Source organism: Homo sapiens, chromosome 3 (assembly GCF_000001405.40).
Source record: "Homo sapiens chromosome 3, GRCh38.p14 Primary Assembly".
NCBI lineage: Eukaryota > Metazoa > Chordata > Mammalia > Primates > Hominidae > Homo > Homo sapiens.
This window is the reverse complement of record NC_000003.12, coordinates 143563642-143582023: the sequence shown is the minus strand read 5'-3', so window position 1 is coordinate 143582023 and position 18382 is coordinate 143563642. Positions and strand designations below refer to the sequence as shown.

The following is an 18382-nucleotide window of genomic DNA, read 5'->3' as shown; positions in this document are numbered from 1 at the left end:
TTCCAGTTGTCCCGCACCTTCATTCCGTCAGCCTTTTTATACCCTGCCATGTGCCAAACAACAGGCTGTGTCCTGGGCATCCAAAGAGAAGCAAGACCGAGTCCAGCCTCAGAAAAGCCAGGCAGGAAAGCAGGATTTCCTGAGAAGTTCTGAGTCTCACCTGCTGGTGGGCCAGGAGAGACGGTGCTGTTGCCCTAGTCAACATACTCCGCTCTTATGCTTGTATACAGGAAGGTGCTGCCCATGTTCCATCCCGGGCATGAAAATAAATGTTCTAGTACCTGAACTCCTGTTGTCCTTATAGTTAGCATCACACTGTCACTCAACTATCCTGATGTGGGTTTATGTTTCCCCACAACATGATCGCCTTTTTAAAGGGAGAAACAAGAAATCTACATTGTGAACTTAGTAGCTGTGTGATCTTAGTTTCTCTGATTTTTAGTTTATGTCTTTTATGCAAAGAAAGAAAGAGAAAGGAAGGAAAGACAAAAGGAGGGAAAGAAGGAAGGAAGGGAGGGAGGGAAGGTAGGAAAGAAGGAAGGAAGGAAGGAGAGAGAAAGGGATAAGGAGAGAGAACAAAACATGCCTTGCTTACTTCACAGAGCTATTATAGGATCAAATAAAGCTATACTGTAGGCACAAGAGGGCTAAATATTATGTAAATGTGAGGTATTTAGTATATTCTCACCATGGAACTTAAGGTTCTGAGTAATGCTGCCTCACCCATCTTTACCCCACCACACGTGCCCACATAGGTGCAGCCATGTCTTGCAATTGCCCTGAACTCACCTGCCTCCTTGCCTTTCTTTACACTCTTTCCACTGCCTGGAATACTCTCTCCCCATCTCTGTCTGATGACATGCTACCTTGCTCAAATGCCACCTCCTTTATTCTAAAATAGTACCCCTTTTCCCCTTTGTACCGTTAAATGTTGTGTATTTCTCACAAAATCACACTTAACACTGGGACTACAGCTATTTGTCATTTACATTTTAGGCTTCCCTGCCGAGTTATGCTTTGCATATATCAGGTGTTTGATAAGATGTTTATTGGATCAAATCCTGCTTCCCTTCTCTATGCTCTTCCCTGCCTGCCTCCCACTTCCTATACCTATTAAATATGTCACTTGTCACATGGCAGGCACCTAGTGCATATGTCTGTGGAGCTTTAGGGCCAGCAAATTCAATGGACAATCTCCATAGGTCAAGGATAATTAAGCCTTTCCCTTCAGTTAAGTCAAATATCACAGGAAGGGTACAAAGTTTGGCGAACAAAGTGATCATACCCTGTTGAGTGGGAAGGAAGAGAACATTTCCCAAAGTGCAGACTACAGATCAGTGGGCACACCCAGATGATTTTAGGTGACATACAGGTGAACTTTCTTTTTCTAAATTACCTATTTTTACATATATTAAAAAGAAATATAATTAGCACATCGAACTTATGATTTCATAGATATTCTTTAATAAAATCTCCTGAATTTGAATAAAAATGATTTAAAGAAAAACGTACATAAATAATGGTACAGGGTATGGCCAAATGATGTGATGGGAGCGCTCAGAATTCCAGAAGCACCAGGCCAGGGAAACACTTCTGGAAGTTATGGAGGTGGAGAGAAGGATAAAGCCGTGCTTGTTCTATGGGTCAGATCTACTAGTGGCAACCACAGGTTAATAGAATTACTTCTAAAGCTGTGCTACTGTGCAAAAACCTTTGTCTGAAGGGCAGAATGCAAATGGAATGCTTTCTCATCACTCTTGTTTCTTCACTGGAAGGAAGAAACATGCTGGAGAATGTCAACTCAAACACATCAAGCATCACAGCCTTGGGCACCAGGTTTCCTAACAACCAGTGGAGTTTTATACCTTTTCCCAGGACTTGCAGATACAAAGGACCCAGATGTGGGTTTACTTTTCCTTTTTTCCTGCAAAGCACAACACTTTACAAAAAAGAAAAACACTTCAAAGGCAGTCCTTTTCTCGCATACATTTCAAGGCTTCATTCAAGATCCACATTCATCTTCCTTATCCAATTACAGGATCAAAGCAGAAGTGTTTGGCCTACTTTGGGGGTTTAAAGACATCCAGGAAAAAACTAAGACCATTTAAAACTACCTTTTTTGATGCCACACATCTTCCTGTAGAAGCATTGGAGTTGGTTCCCCTTGCTCTCTCTTAAGTCATCTCTGGATACCAAAAGTCAGGTCAGAGAGCTAACATGCTCTAATCATTGGCAAGATAAAAGATTCAGTTACATCTCTGTAAAATCCAATCTAATCTCAGTCAATGTGTCTAGTGTACTTTTGCTCTCCACACTGCTACTTTTGGAGTTTCTTCCAAAACCCACTGCTAAACTCTTGATTTTTCCTGATTAGTTTTTAAAATCCTGTATTAAAATAAAAAACTGCAAAAAAAAATCTGAAATGTCATTTCATTAGTCTCCCTAAAGCTAGTGGATCTAGCACATATGTTCATTTTAATGCTCAATATGGAGTTCATATTTCCTAAAATAGGACATGCCTTATCCTTCATATTCACACTCTGGGATCTGAGGCCCTGGTTTTAAAAAAAATAGCTTATATGACATCCTCAATAATATTTAAGTGAACAGACTGCCTATTGGTGGATTGATTTTTCTCTATGGAAATAAATCTGTTGGCAGCCGCCAGAATTGGGGTATAAAAGATGACCTTGGGCAGCTGTTGCCATTTGTTTTGGTGGGAAAATGAGGGTTTTGTCTCTCCATGGGGGTTAGTACTGTGATGTTCTGAGCACCATCAGTGCTCTGTTTCTGAAGGGTTACACTGGAGAGGAGGAATGCTTTGTGGTTTATGACAAGATCATGGCAGAATATTTTGTGCACACGGTGATTTGTATCACCCATTTGTGCACAGGCCATAAAAGTGCACTTTTTATCAGGAACATCTGTGAATATATAACAGCACTGAAGACATATGGCCACTAAATAATTCACAGTTATCTATCTTCTCAGCAGATTCCTTATACACCTACCATGTTTTAATGCCTAGTTTGCTCAGAAACAATATTCTTTATGACCCTTCCAATATAAAAATGTTTACTGACTGGCAGCAATATATAGATCCCATGGGATGGGGCTATAAGGAAGCAGAAAGATTTCTGCATTCTCCAACTCTCCCCTTCTGTATCTGTTTTCCCCTAACTCTTCCAACCAGCACCCAACATTACAGGGAAAGATACCTCTCCCCAAAGTGGGTGCGAAATCCTATCTGGGCTATGAGATGAAAGTCACTAACTAACCTCCACCCTCTTCTCTTTTCAGTTCTATATCCATTTACAGTCCCAAGGAGAATCCAAATGCATTTGATGCCGCAGCATTCTTCCAGTCTGTGGGGAATTTCCTGGGAATCTTCGCTGGCTCATTTGCAATGGGGTCTGCGTATGCCATCATCACAGCACTGATATCCTTTGTCTGTATGTGGAAAGCTGGGACTGTCAAGAACAGTCAGTATCCATGGAATATTTCTGATGATGGACAACCTCCAGGCCCATAAAAGGCTAGATAGTCTGGTCCAAGTTTCATACGGCACCACTGGTGCCATCTTGGTTCTCAGTCACCCCTGGAGGCATAGGTTGGTACCAGTGGCAGAGGGGCCCAAGCTCTCTTCTTGCCCAAGGTCAGTTCTAATGCTATTGACACTATCTGATCCTAGGACATCAACAGCCTTAAATAAATATCACCTAGGAAAACTAGTGAACGGGAACCATCAGGATTGGCCTTACTAGGGTCAAGAGGAAGAACTGAAGATCCAGGGTCAAGAATAAGACAATTGATTAAGGGTGATAAATTGGGTATGATCTGCCTCTTTTTCAGGCTTATTCAATCACTAGCTTACAGGGTAGCTCAAGCCAGAGGTCACTGTGGGTCTAAACAAGCATCCACAGCTACTTTATAGAAGGGAACCTGCAAGCAATGCTGAAATGATATGTGTGCCATACCTGAGCAATCATGTCATTTGATTCCTTTTTGTTGTTGTTAGGAAGTTGGGATGATAGATGGAGTTTCTAGAGAATCTGAGCCAAAGAAAGAAGCTGGTCTGGTGGGCTGCTCACTTAGAACATTCAGATAGGGCAAAAGTAAGCTGGAGTAGAGGAGGAAGGCCAGAAGGCCAATGTCAAGTATAAGGGTTAGGTGGAGCCACAGAAGAGAGGTAGAACAGAAGATCTAGGGCCAAAGACCTCAGGGGAAGGAGAAGGAAGAAGTGTGCCAGAGGGGTGAAGGCCCCAGGCAAAGAGAAGGCAAAATATTGGGGGCCTTTTTCTATGGGGTCTTGCCCAGACATTCACTGAGCAGCTGCTAAAATGCTTCATTCTACTGGGGGTATCTAAGAAGAGTCAGGAGATGTGTAAAACAAGGACCCTGCCCTCAGTGAGTGACAGGCTTAGAAAGATGAGCTCTACATTAAGACTGGGATAGAAAGTGAGTGCCAGAGCCGCATCGAAGTTATCACACTGTAAACACTCAAACTGGGACAAGGCTGTTGTGTCTGGAATAGTATAATACCCTTGGCCAACTTTATGATTCTGGAAAATAATTTGAAAAGCAGTATTTATAAGCAGAGTGGGTTTTGGGCATGGCCTGGAAGATAGAATAGGGGCAAAGGCTGAGCAGTCGGTGATTCAGGAGGCGAAGACTAGCATTCACTAAGGTATGGCAGTGGGACCAATGTGGCATCTGGAAGACATGCCTGGGAGGACCAGAGGGCTCCAGCTAGTGAGAAATGGAGGATGAGGGGACTCAGGAGGGATGGAGTCAGCTTGTGGAATATCTTGAAGTGGTATTTCAAAGAGTCTGAGCCTCTTTCTCTAGTCCACAATTAGCTGCCAAAGGTTTCTGCTCAGGAGAGTGACACACTGACAGTCCTGTTTTTAAAATATAGATGAGGAACTGGAACAAAGGATGAATCAGAGGAAGGAGACTAGAATCAAGGGAAACTGTGATGATGAACTGCGGGGGAAGCATCAGGAAGGGGACTGATATTTAAAAGGAAAAATCTCTAAGACTTAGTGATTGGCTGGCTATTGGAGATAAAGAAAAGGAGACAGTCAAAGGCTACTCCAAAGTTTCATCCTGAGAACCTTGTAAAATGGCATCTCCATTGACAGAAATAAAGTCAGTCAGAAGAGGTAGTGCTGGTTTCCAACAAGAAAAAATGACCTACCCAGTACTTATGCTATGACAGGCTGCCTACGACGTGTTTTCCATGAGTGTCTCATCTAACCTTCACAATGATCCTATCACCAGATGCTATTTTTATTGGATGTGAAGCTTAGAAAGGGTAAGCTGTTGCCCAAGGTCATGCAGCCAGCAAGTAAACCCGGAGAGTGAGAATCAAGAGGCCGAACATGCTCTCTTCACTGCTCCCTATTGCCTCTTAATTCTTAGTTGGAGCTGTGTGGAGGCCAGGTGTTGTTTAGAGTGAGTAACAGCAACAAGGATAGGAACATTTTGTGAGTGTCTAGCATGTGCCAGAGCCTTTCTATGCATCTCCTCATTTGAATCAACCCTGTAAAACAAGTTATTGTCCTCCTCACCTTACACCCGAGGAAACTGAGGCTCAAGGAGGATACGTAGCTCACTCAGGATCATATATCAGTAATAGTGAGCATGGTAATAATCACATCATCTAACATTTATTGAAAACGTTACTGTGTGCCAGCCATTGCCCTAAGTGTTTTGCATGGATCATCAGATAAGTTTTACAAGAACACTGGAAGGTAGATACTGTTACTATCCCAATTTTACAGCTAAGGAAACTGAGACAATTAAAGTTAAACAACTTGGCTAAGGCCAAACAACTAGGACATTTCAGGGCCAGGATTCAAACCCAGGCTTTTGGGCTCTGGAGGCTACGCTAAGTGGAGAAACTAAAATCAGAATTCTTCTCTACCTGATGTGAGGGGAAGGTGTAACATATGTGAACAGGTTGATAAGGGAAGAAAAAATTCCTGGAGATTGGAAGTCTGGCATAAGATTGCATCAGATCTGAAAGAAAGGGTGTAGAGACGGAAGAAACAGGCTCGGTAACAGTGGTGACATTGATCGTGCAGTATTTGGTGGTCTTCAACAGGCTCTACAGACACAGGCTATGAAGGAGATAAATGCTTACTGTTGTCCTCCTCACCTTCCTAACCACCTACCCATTTCATTCTGAGGCTGTCTCCTCGGGTTGTAGGCCCCTGAGCTCTGCAGACCCAGAGCTGAACTAGTTTCTGGAGGAGATTGAAAGAAAAGAATGTTAGATAGCTGATTGCTGTTTTGTTACTCACCTGCCCTGAACATTCTCTTTAAAACAAACTAGAAGAGGGAATTCAGGAGAACAGACCTCACTAGAAACAAAGACTTCCCTCTAAGTAACAAAAGGGAATATTGTAAAAGGATCTCAGGGCAGCCCATTCTTTACAGCAGATAAAGAATTGCTTCCAGATCCTTACTGATTCTATTTCCCAAAAAGATGTTTTACCAAAAAAAACCAAAAATTAATTTAGACCACAGTAGACAAGTTGCATATCACTTGTTACATGCCAGGCACTGTTCTGAGTACTTAACATATATTAACTAGTTTACAGACCTCTGAGGTAGGTGGTATTATTATTCTCATTTTCAGACAGGAAAACTCAGGCACACAGTGGTCAAGAGATGTGTCCAAGTGAATACTGTGAATTTTAATCCAGGTAGAATTGGCTTCCAAATGCTACACTCCCCACCATGATATTATTCTGCCTTTGTGCTTTCTAAAACTTTACAAAACATGTTTACCATACTTCAGCACATTTTACTTTCATGTAGGATCAGGTATTATTCTCATTGTCAATTCATGTAGAATAGAAATGAGGCTCAGAGAGGTTAATATACTGCTGAGAAATCACACAGCCAGTCACTGGCAGAGTCAAGAATCAGAATAAAATGTTCTTTTCCAGAGGTCACACTTTTGCTCCCTGCTCCCCTGCTAAATGTCTCTTAGTGTGAAATTTTCTTTAGATTTTGTTGTAGCAGTATAAAAATGCAACACGATCACATCTCCTTATTTGTCAGGGCATTTTGTGCCTAATATTGACACAATTGCAACCTAACCCTTTCCCATCGATCACGTACTCCTAATCATCTCCGCATGATCCATTCTCTGCCCAACTTGAATCACTACTATCCCTTTGTTCTATTTGCAATTTATAGACCATTGACCAAGTGTCATCCTTGTCAAAATGAACCAATAATAATGGTTCATTAATAATGGAACCTATAAATAACATACCTTCTCCTTATCCTACTTATACCAAGAGGGCATGGACAGCTTCCCTGTCACTGAATGTAACTTCTTCTTCTGATCCTACTTCCATCCCCAGGAGAGAAGACTCTACCAGGTCGTCTGCCCACAGACTGCACTCCCGAGGGAGCAGCGCTCCTTGGTACTGACATACTTGCAGCATCTCATCCCCCTACACTCTCCTTGGCTTTGTTTTTCCGTGCCTGCTACACCTTTCCTGAGGGGTGCATCCCAAGGGATGAGGCTAGGCCCACAGTGAGCTGAATTTATAGTCTTAGGAAGACACCTTTTTAATCTGAACACAGGTTTGAATTTTTACAGGCACGTTCAGCCCCCGGTGAAGCATGGAACTCGTGCTGGCCTTCAAAGTAGGTCCCAGTGAGAATTATGGCCTTCCAGTCAGGTCTGAATATCAGTTCTTTTACTTTGCTCTAGAGCTATCATCACCAGATCAGTTTTTATTCTCAGCCAAGAAGGAGATGTAGCTGTAAAAGCTGTTGTTGTTTCCCTTAACTTATCTTCCTCACTTGACCAAATTTACCAAGCTGTGTGAGTTCCCGATGCTGGAAACCGGCCTGTTTTTCCTGCTTTCTTGGAGTGCCTTCCTGTCTGCCGAGGCTGCCGGCCTAACAGGTCAGTGCTTCATGCTGCACAGCCAACTGGATGTGTGAATATGTGTGTGGCTCTGGTGTGTGCCCCTCCCTGACCTAGCAGGAGGTGAAATGAAGTCTCTCTTAAATAGTGCATGTGAATGGTTTGGGTCAGAATCAGCCTCTCTTGGGTACGCTGGAGAGAAAAAATAATAGTAATTCATCCATTTTGTACCAAACAGCTTAATGGAACATCTCCTAAATGCTTTCCTCTCTTCTCCTGGCTGGACAGGAGGCGTGTTGAAGAGACTGATTTATAGTGTGATGGATGATTTTCAAATGGAAGTCTTCATTGAGAGTGTGAAAGGATACCCACAACTGCTTTGTAGAGAAGGGTGGTGGCTTTCAGTGGCTCTTAACAGTAGGTTTCAATGTTAGCAGGCTCTCTAGGGTAGGTACATCTCCATACACGTCGGTGGTTGAGATCTTCACATATGTTCCATGGCAGGTAGGAAAACAAACAGCAAATGTGGTGGCTGTACAGTTTAATGTCTCTTACCACAGAAAGTCTATAGAGAGAGTCCTCTAAGGTGGAACAGTTGATAGAAAGGGGGCAGTTCGTTAGACCCAAGGGCTGCAGATCCTAGGATCTGGATTGAGCAATTAGGTTGCCTTTCTGCAACCATGAGGATTTGTGCTTGGGTTACTGCAACAATTGGGTGCTTTTCCATGCAGAAGAATCTCCATGGCTTCCAGCAAAATGTTAATGCTCTTTCTCTCCTCAAGCCACGTTCCCTGCTTCTCCCAGGTTTCAATCCTGGATCCCTTTCTGCTCATTACATCTTAACGGACATTCGAATGGTAAGAATCCTTCGTAACTGGTAGCAAGGTATACCTCCCTCGGTGTTTGCATTTTAATAGGTGATACTTTAAGTCTAAATAATAAATAATAATAAAAGTTGACATATATTGAGGGTGTACCATGAGCCAGATGCTGGCCAGCTGTCTTTCATAGGTGATTTCATTAATCGATAGAAAGATTCAAAAGTAAAAGACTATGCCCAGTTTACTCAGCCAACAGTAAGTGATGGAGCTGGGATTTAAAACCAGGAAATTCAATTTTAGAGCCTGGGTTCTGGGGGACCACGCATTTCTACCTCAAATGAAACTCCATCTGTGAAACATCAAGCGGACCTCTAAGGGTAGGTAGGAAGGAAGTAGTTGGAGCCCCAGGCAACTGCCTGGTTCAGTTGCTCCTTGGCTGGTCTTGGCTCTCCTGTGAATGCCATGGCAAATCTTTTTAGTAATGAGAACCTATTGCTTTAATCAGCTGGCCCAACTTACTGCAGAACCACACAGTCCAAGCTATTCCCGTTGGCTTCAAGGGTGTTTGCTGCCAATACAGAAAGCCACCCACCAGTTCTTATGACACTATAATCAAGACTACATTACTGGATTCCACCCTACCAGGCCTTTGTATCTAAATTATTTCAATACAAATTCTGTTATTTTAGTGCATTGCCACTTTATTAAGGAGGTAGCTGGAAAGCTTATGCATTTCAGAAGAAAACAGTAGCCATGTCCCTTCAGTGAAATAATGTAGGCAAATCATTTACATCACAGTCATTCAAAAAACATTAGTTCCCTTTCTTCCACATTCTGTATTCTATTCAAGTTTAACTTATAAAATGATCCAAGTAGTATTAATAATAAGAAAAAATATTTGACCTTCTAGAAAGGTAAGGAAGTATCTTAACTCACCTAATATTTTTTAATCTACTGTTGGATGTTATAATAAACACACGCGCACACACACACACACACACACACACACCATTGCCTAAGAATTGTCAATTTGTGTAAAAATTGTCTATTTCCTTGTCCATTTCAGCAAGATCTTCTTCTATCAACTACATTAAAGGCTAAGATCCATGGGAAACTGAACAAATTGCTAGTTTGCTTGATCCTTGCTCTTTCACACCCTTTCAACCTGATATCCTTACTGAGCTGCCATACAGACCACCTTCTAAGGAGCCAGCATCATGGGATGGGTGAATATGGGTGTGAACCCCAGTAACAGAAAGATCCAAGTGTCCATGGCTGTACCGAGGGGCAGACTCACCCCCGAGTAGTACACTAGATTTAGGCAATGTGCCTAACAGACATTTGCTACAAACCAAATTCTAGGTGTGAGCATTTTCTATTGCCAAAGACCAAGACCGCTTAGTCCAAATTACTTATGTGTTTGTTTGTTTATTATTTAATCCTTGCCTATTTCCAGATTGGATTTGTGACAACTCATAACATAAGCCATGCACATCACAGGACCATTTAGTTGAGGGTAAACACTCAAGTGCTCTGGGACAGAATTTTTCTGCAAAATTAGGCCACTGTTCATTGCTGTGGTTTGGCAATAAATATAGCTCTGAGCTTTCTGGCAGTCAAAGCCAAAAGGGGAACATGATGAGTTATACAGGAATAATACAGCATTATTTTTTTTTAAGTCATGCTTATCAAAGTGGGCAAACTTTATTTTTCATACTAAAATTTTAGGGGAATTTATCACATGCATCTATATATAAGGGCCTTTGAACACCAGAATGGACAGTGTATTTAATAATAATTTTAGGGAAAATGGAGGTTCATTCTTCATATGGTCATTTCTCATATCAACTTTCAATAAAACCTGAGGGTGTGGCCTCAAATTATAATTCTGTAATTATTTCCATGTAATAATAAAATCATTTTAGTTCTAATGCACAGGTAAACTAATATGATACAAATCTAAAAATCTAGAAAACTTAAAAAAATGATTTCTGCATGAATAGACAACAATGAATACAGTAAACTAAAATGGAAAGAGCTATTAAATAGTTTATGAGTAACTACAGAGGTAACCAGCAATCGTGGAGCCTTGTATGGGTTCACTAACAACACTTAATGTAGCTCCTAGAGATGGTATTAACATGGAATGATTTCTCAGCAGAATTCCCCAGGCCCTGACCTTTCAAAGTGCGCCCTCAAGAACATCCGTCTAGTGAGCAGGGCTCTCGGCCGCCTACCCATACTTCACCCCTTTTATTGGTTTCAGAAATTGGGATATCACATACAATTCTATTTGAAAAAAAATGTTCTGCTACTTTAAACAAAGCACATCTGTTTTTAAATATATTTTATTTTTTTCGTACACCCAAGGTAATCCATACTCACTGTAGAAAATTTAGAAAATGCAGATTTACAGAAGGAAATAAATTTAGAATCACTTATATTCTTATTGCATGTTAATAACAATTGTTAATATTTGGCTGTGTCAAGCTAACTATATATATATAATTATACACACACATATACACTTAAATATGCCTACCTAAATATACTCGTGCATGCATATATCTATATATTTCTTAAGTAACTTGCTTTTTTCATTCAACAATTTATAATGAAAAAAATGCCATGAATGGAGCATTAAAAAATTTATAGTGAATGTTTTCCAAAACATTGAATACTCCATCATATGAACTTGCCATAATTTATTGTAACAACCTTTTGATTATTTACAGGTTTTAATATTCTTATTATTACTGCAATGATAATCTGTATAGCTAGAGATATAAATTTTTATTTATGTAACTGCCTGAAAATAAAATGTCTGGTTTAATAAAAAGACTAAAATTTAAATTTTTGGACAAATTTGTCCAAATTGTCTTTTAGAAAATTTGTATCCCCTTGCACTCCCACCAGCAATCTGAAAGCAAGCTCATTCACTCACGTCTTCACCACCCCAAATCTTATTAATCACTGCTAATTTGATAATCAAGTTCCATTTTCTTCCGGTTTACATTTATTATATTTTTATGAAGGAGAAGCTTTTTTAATTACAGGTCATTGGCTGTTTGTATTTCTTCTTTGGTGAACTACCAGTTTATGCCCTTTGTTACTTTTTTGTTGTTGTTAACTGTTTTCGTGTTGAGATGCTTATCTTTGTCACATTGTAGTTCAGTTACTCTTTATCTATGGAGAAAATTGGCTAGGACCAATGATGCATTTCTATAATCCCAGCACTTTGGGAGGCCAAGCAGGGAGGATTGCTTGGGCCCAAGAGTTCCAGACCAGACTGGACAACATAGTGAGACCCTGTCTCTAAAAAAAAAAAAGTATCTGGTCATGGTGGCACACACTGTGGCCCTAGCTACCAGGGAGGCTGAGGCAGGAGGATTGCTTGAGCCCAGGAGTTCAAGACTGCAATGAGCTATGACATGACTGCATTCTATTCTGGGCAACAAAGAGATACCCTGTCTCCAAAAAAAAAAAAAAAAGAAAAAAACAATAAAAGAAAATTAACCTTTTGACTGTCATATAGGCCATAAATATTCTCCAATTTGTGCTTGTACCTTTTAACTATGTTCTGTTTTGTTCGTTTGGGTAAGGGAAAGGGGTTGGCATAGGCATTTTCAAGTTTTATGTGGTTAATTGTATTGCCTCCTTAGAAAGCCCAAGTGAATGATATGTCCACAAACTTAGCAGCCTAAAAAATAATAAAAAAGAAAAAATATATAGAAAACCCAAGTGTTTCTTAATGATAGTGTATAATTTCTTTTAAAAGTTGTTTGATTTTGTTTTTGCATCAGAAACCAACTGGAATTTGTTTTGATATGAGGTGTGGGGTATAGTAGCGATTTGATTTTCTTCCCAGATGATAAGTCACCTGTCCTAACACCCATCAACTTTTGCCTATTTAAAATGTCTATGTATGTGCACATACATGTATGTGTATGTGTATCTGTATGTTCTGGGCTTTCCATTGTTCCACCGAATGTTTGATATTCACTGTGTCAATTATTTCAGCTTCATGGTTTATTTTAATATCTAGTAGGTCAGTCTTTCACTCCTCTTCCCCATATTCAAAAGTTCCTTTGCTATACCTGTGTATTTATTATTCCTGATGGACTTGGAAATAACAGGTTCCAAACAGAAAATAATTTTGGAATTATAATTGGGGTACATTAAATTTTTAGATTAATTTGAAGAGAAATGGCATTTTTATAACATCAAGTCTTCCCACCCAGGAATATGTTATGACTCTCCATTTATTTGAGTCTTATTTTACGGCTCTCAGTAAATTTTTACAGTTGTCTTCACATTAGACCTACAAATTTCTTGTTAAGTATCTTTTCAGCAGCTACTTTATATTTTGGGGTGCTACAGTAAATGGGAACTTCTTTATAGTTTCTAACTGGTTATTGTTTGTATATGTGCATCTAGATTGCACTGCACTATTTGATTTATTCTCTGTAGCTCTAAAGTACAAAATTAGAGCTGATGGAGAATTAGGATTAATGGGCAGAAGTTAGACTGTCAAGTTCAGGAGGGCTTTGTCAGCACCAAAAGAATGTCTGAAGCATTGTGGGCACAAAATAAATATCGTTCGAGCAGTGGAATGAATAATTTTCACTCACAAAAGAAAAAAGTTTCAAAACCTGAATAACAGATCACTTTATAAGGTAGTAAGTGTTCTGTGCCCAATAATATTCCTACAGATTTTACACATCCTCTGGTCCAAACATTTCACAGCAGATCCATACGTCAAGTAAATGATATCTCATAAATTGCATTAATCTGTAACCTTATTTTCCCAATTATTAAGTTAAAAAATGAAGACATATAGGCATGAAAGGAACAGCTCTGTCTAGAAGAATGTGGTGGACATGTGTTGGTTCTGGCTGCCCCAACACATTCTCACTTCCACTGGTAATAGCATCCTAATGTTTCTTAGGAAACTACCCCCAACTCCAATGGATAACATCTTCTAATCAACGTGTCCCACCCTCCCCTGACAAAGAGAATTAGGACATCTGAAGGTAGGACAACTAGACACTCTTCCCCTGGTATGTAAAACTTTAGGAGGGAGAGAGGAGGCTGTATAACTGCTGGCACCTCCTCAATAGCAGAGCCCTATTGAGACCCTCTATTTATTTATTCCTGCCACCAGATCCCTGGAGCAGCCATGATGCCTCCTTTCTAAGAGCTATCACACTTCCTTCCAATAAATTCCTTTCTGATTATGCTAGCCAGAGTCTGTTTTTATTACTTGCAAACAAAGAAATCTAAATGGTACAAAGGAAGGAATAGTCCATGAGGTATTTCAACAAAAGAAATTGTATAACTTTGTGACAGATCAGAAGGGAAGACAGTCTCAAAGACGGCACAGCCTCTAGGCTAGGATACTTGGGACCATCTTATGCCAGGTGCATACTGATAAACGAACAAAAAGAATCAAGCTTTTAAAGACAGTTTGCAGTGTTCATTATCCTTTCCAATTCAGCTTCTTACCAGATTCATCATGAACACTTCAGTGTAAGCAGCTTGCTCATTAACACGTGGCCTGCATTCACTTTCAGTTGTTACTAATTTGATGATGATCATTTGATTTATTTTGATCATCTTTTGCTTCAAGGGCCACATTTGCAGCCACCTCATCTCAGTCTCTTGGAAATTGCACCTGCCAGTGTTCAATAGTCACATACAAGAACTTGGTTTTATGGAAACAAGTGGCTTTTAGACATGCAAATGAAGGCTGGTGTTTCTATTACCCAGAAATCTGAATCTGTGCTGCTTGAAATATACAAGTGCATTGAGAAAACATTTATTTGGGAAGATTGGGCAGAATATAAAATGCAAGTGAGAAGTCTTTATAGAGGATGAGAGTATGTACAGAGAAATGGACATTAGGGACTTCTCACAAATCCAGAGAGCATAGAAAGAAGAGAACATATGTGGATGTGTCTGCCATACTTACAAAATCAGCCACCGAGGCATGTGTCTCTGGCTTCTGGATCTTCAGCTGACTTGCTAAAGGATTGGAATAAGTCATCCTATTAATTGGCATCTCTATTTTCCTTACTGCTAAAGTCAAAGGAATTTATTGCTTTGTAATAGAAGGACATTGTACACATACAGAATGTGGCTTTTGGGTAAATACATGACCCTAAGGAATTCTCTCTGTGAGGTACCTGGTATACACGACTACCTAATTTTGGATCAGGTAGAATTTTTCTTGTGCAGAGGCCTGTTTTCTAAAAGTCATTAGGTTACTGAGCCATTATTTTTAAATGAATATTGAAAATACTTCAGCAGTATTATTTATAGCATATCTCCAATGGAATTGAATCCTGTCATAGAAGCTGCTTTCCAGTTTATAAAGATAACCGAAAAGCACAGCTGGACAGGTTGTTTGAAAATTCATTTTTATAATCTGTTTCCCAGCTGAGACTTTGGGGGTCAGGTTTTCGCCAGAAGCAAACTTTCAGGGACTGTCATTAAACACCCAAAGAGTAAGATTTCTAATGGCAACATTGACACCATGTCTAATGATTTCCCTGCTTCCAGGCATTGCTCTAATAAAGACAGCTTCCATTTTTAGATTCCTAGGGCAATTTTATGTTCATTGGAGGCAGAGGAGGGGGAAGAGTGCCACTGGCATATCTCATTTTCTCATACAAAAAGTTAAACAGTATAGAACACTATTTACTCAGCTTAGAATGACTTCCATTTAAGAAAACAGGCATCCAGAAATATGAAGAAAAAGAAGTCCTGATTATTAAGTAATGGGGCTGGGCTTTCTAATCTGATTCTAGAGAGTAAATGAATCTTAAAAAAAATGAAAGTGTGGGAAGTTAAAAACAAGTAACACTCTGGCCTATTCATTAAGGAATTGACCAAGATGTCTGAAAGAAAGAAGTGCTCAGCACATGCAAGTTGTGTTTACAACACAAACAGTTAAATCATCTCAATCCCTTCCCCTAAGCCTGTTCTCCTATTGGCCTCAAATCACAAGGGCCTAATTACATTGCCATGATAGGAAAAGCTGCACTTGGAACTCAGGTGCTATGTATTTGTCAAGTCAGTTCTTGAAAGGCTTTTGTAGAGTAAGCAGTGAGGGAAAAGGGGAACTTGAGAAAGTCTATTTTGCAATAGATAAGGAGGAGAGATTTCCAAATGAAATGACTATTACTGGACATGTTGAGATTTCACTTGTCTGAGTAAGTAAGTTGGCTTATTACTTCTCATCTCATCATTTCTCACTTGGGCAAAAATTGTTTTCAAACTCTTAAGAAGGCTTTTAGCTCAGAGGTGAATGTGTTCCATTTGGCTTGCCACTGATGCACTGCATGACTGGATGGGAAATGCATTTCTGGAGCTCAGTAAATAAAACAAATCTCCAGGAGGGGACTTCGTTTGAATTGTTTCTCAAAACAAATCTGGCCAGTTTTAGCTTCCAAATACGTGTCATTAGCCAACATCTCTTACCTTAAAACTGGTTTGCTTTATATTGACAGAACCAGGTGAATCCAACTTAACCAACAATTCACCAACAAATGAGGTGAAGTGAGTGTTTTCCAAGCTGGAAAAAAAAAAACAAAACCCTGAGGCTCAAAATATTAGGCGTTCAAGCTGCAGAAATAGTGCCTACAATTCTCAAGGGGATTAGTTAACCAGCACACTGAACCAAAGACAAACATGCAATGATGCCATCTCAATAAACACAGGTGTAAAGTATGTCTTCTCGCATAATAACTCATTAACTCACACCTGCACTTCCTTGAACCAAATAGCTCTTCATTTCAATATTCAAACAACCTGCACATATAGCTAAAGCAGTGGACAAATTTACCCCTCCTTTCTTCATTGTAAATGTTTTCAGTCATTATTTAACAACTCTTCATGGTGCCAGGAGTCATAGAGAAAAAGGTAAAATTATTTCCCAAGAACCCATATTCTGCATAGGCATGTAGAAAATTGTCAGAAGATGGCACAAATAACATGTGGATGCAGAAGAAAAATGAGTCAAAGATAATTCCCGGGTTTTTTATGTCTGTTGGGTCAGTGGTTGATTTCACCAAAATGGAGAATACAAGTGAGTGAATACATGCGCCAAAAGGAGACACAATAATCAGTTCATTCCAGGACCTTCAGAATTCCACACAAGGGTAGAATATCCACATGGAAAAGTACAGTGGGCAACTGGCCTGGACTTCTGGGGTGAGATTGCTGATCACAGATTTAGGCAACATTGATGTAAATGTGTTAGCTGACTCCAAGGAAATGGGAACTAGAAAGAAACCAGGGTAAGGAGGGTAAGCCTAATGAACACCAAAACTTGAGGCGCCATGCCAGGGATCTAAGCAAAATAGGTCTTTCCTTCTTCTCCAGACCTCAAGATAATTTGCATAAGTACTCATTACTATGTTATGAAGAATTTACATAGAGGATATTTTTAAACAAAAATTTCTAAACCTGGCAACATAGATTTGAAGTAACACTTAAGTGCATATCTATATACTCAGCATTGGAGGAATCAGAAATAATAACATAGATTCATGCTGTTTTCTATATTGATGTTCTTATATTCCACAGATGCATTATTAATCTGCCAACTATGGAGTTGCCAAATATGGTGAACTAGATGGTAATTGTACTCTTTGGAAAGTTGGATACTTTCATATTGCCTGAAGGAGTTTTCCATTTTGTTAAATCTTTGACTTCTCAGTTCCAGGTTCACTTTCAGTGGTTGTAGGAAACCTGTCAGAAATGTCTCTTTTTACTAGATCAAAAATAAATAAAAGTGTGGCATGGAAGAATAACCCATCAACCTCTTAAACCCCTCAGAGGACCATCTGAGTGCAAGACACATTTCTTTTTCTTTCTTATTCATTCTCTTTCTGTGTTCTGGTGATATAATCAATATTCCTGTCCAAAAATGCAGTATTCTGTAGTCTTAGAAACTCTTCAAGTCTGCATTTAATGTCAAGGTAGAGCATGCTTCATGTGACAGACACTTATTTTCTACTTCTGTATCTGACGGCTTCATCAACTTTTAATGAGAAAAGAATTCTGGAGTAATGTTATCAGAAGCAGAGGCTGTAGGTGACATACTCTTGAATAAGAAAATTTAAATATTAGAAGACAACGGACCCTGCCAGGAATAAATTCATATAAACATTTATTCGTAAGTGAGAATTAGGATTAATCTCCTTGTGTTCTCTTTTCAAAGCACATAAACATTTCTTGAAGTAGAATTTCATTCCTTTGACAGATGTGTATTTGAGTACCTGACATGTGCTGGACACTGCTGTGGGTCAGCGATAAGACAGCAGGTCAGGAACCTAGCTCTTGAGGAGATAGAGGTCAAGAGGGAGACACTGGGTAATCTAGTTGACAGGAAGTCAAGTGAAGCTGTTAAACCCCATGCAATTCTTCAATCCCAAGTATGCAGACCTTGAAGCAAAGTAAAAACTGAACCATTTATATTACAGACATTTATAATTGGAAGGTGCTGAGAGGTCATCTAGAGCAATGCTTGCCAGAGTTTCTTGACCCTTATTGGCAACAAATAGATTTATTATGTAACACATGCTTATATATTAATTTTCATTTTTTTGCCCACAAGGGTAATTATATTATGTTAGAATATACAAAAGTGCTAATTAAA

General features: G+C 39.6%; 1 protein-coding gene and 1 long non-coding RNA gene across 6 annotated transcripts in view; one reads left to right on the top strand and one right to left on the bottom strand.

Annotated features, from left to right (window-relative positions):
- Window positions 1–16280, bottom strand: part of LOC124906294 (uncharacterized) — a 29525-nt gene extending 13245 nt beyond the window's left edge. Inside the window, exons 1-2 of the long non-coding RNA XR_007096123.1 lie at window positions 16201–16280; window positions 14690–14742 (exon numbers count right to left, since the gene is read on the bottom strand). This is a non-coding gene — a long non-coding RNA (uncharacterized LOC124906294). The remainder of the gene's footprint in view (window positions 1–14689; window positions 14743–16200) is intronic.
- The window catches only part of SLC9A9 (solute carrier family 9 member A9), a 583247-nt gene that overhangs the window by 266445 nt on the left and 298420 nt on the right, over window positions 1–18382 (top strand). For 4 of the 5 annotated variants that reach the window (XM_017006203.2, NM_173653.4, XM_011512703.4 and 1 more), the window contains 2 exons: window positions 3301–3439; window positions 7831–7936. In XM_017006203.2, the coding sequence (XP_016861692.1) occupies window positions 3301–3439; window positions 7831–7936 (245 nt within the window). Of the gene's footprint in view, window positions 1–3300; window positions 3440–7830; window positions 7937–8679; window positions 8755–9784; window positions 11572–18382 lie in introns of those variants that run through there. The other variant, XM_011512704.4, reaches the window with a different exon arrangement.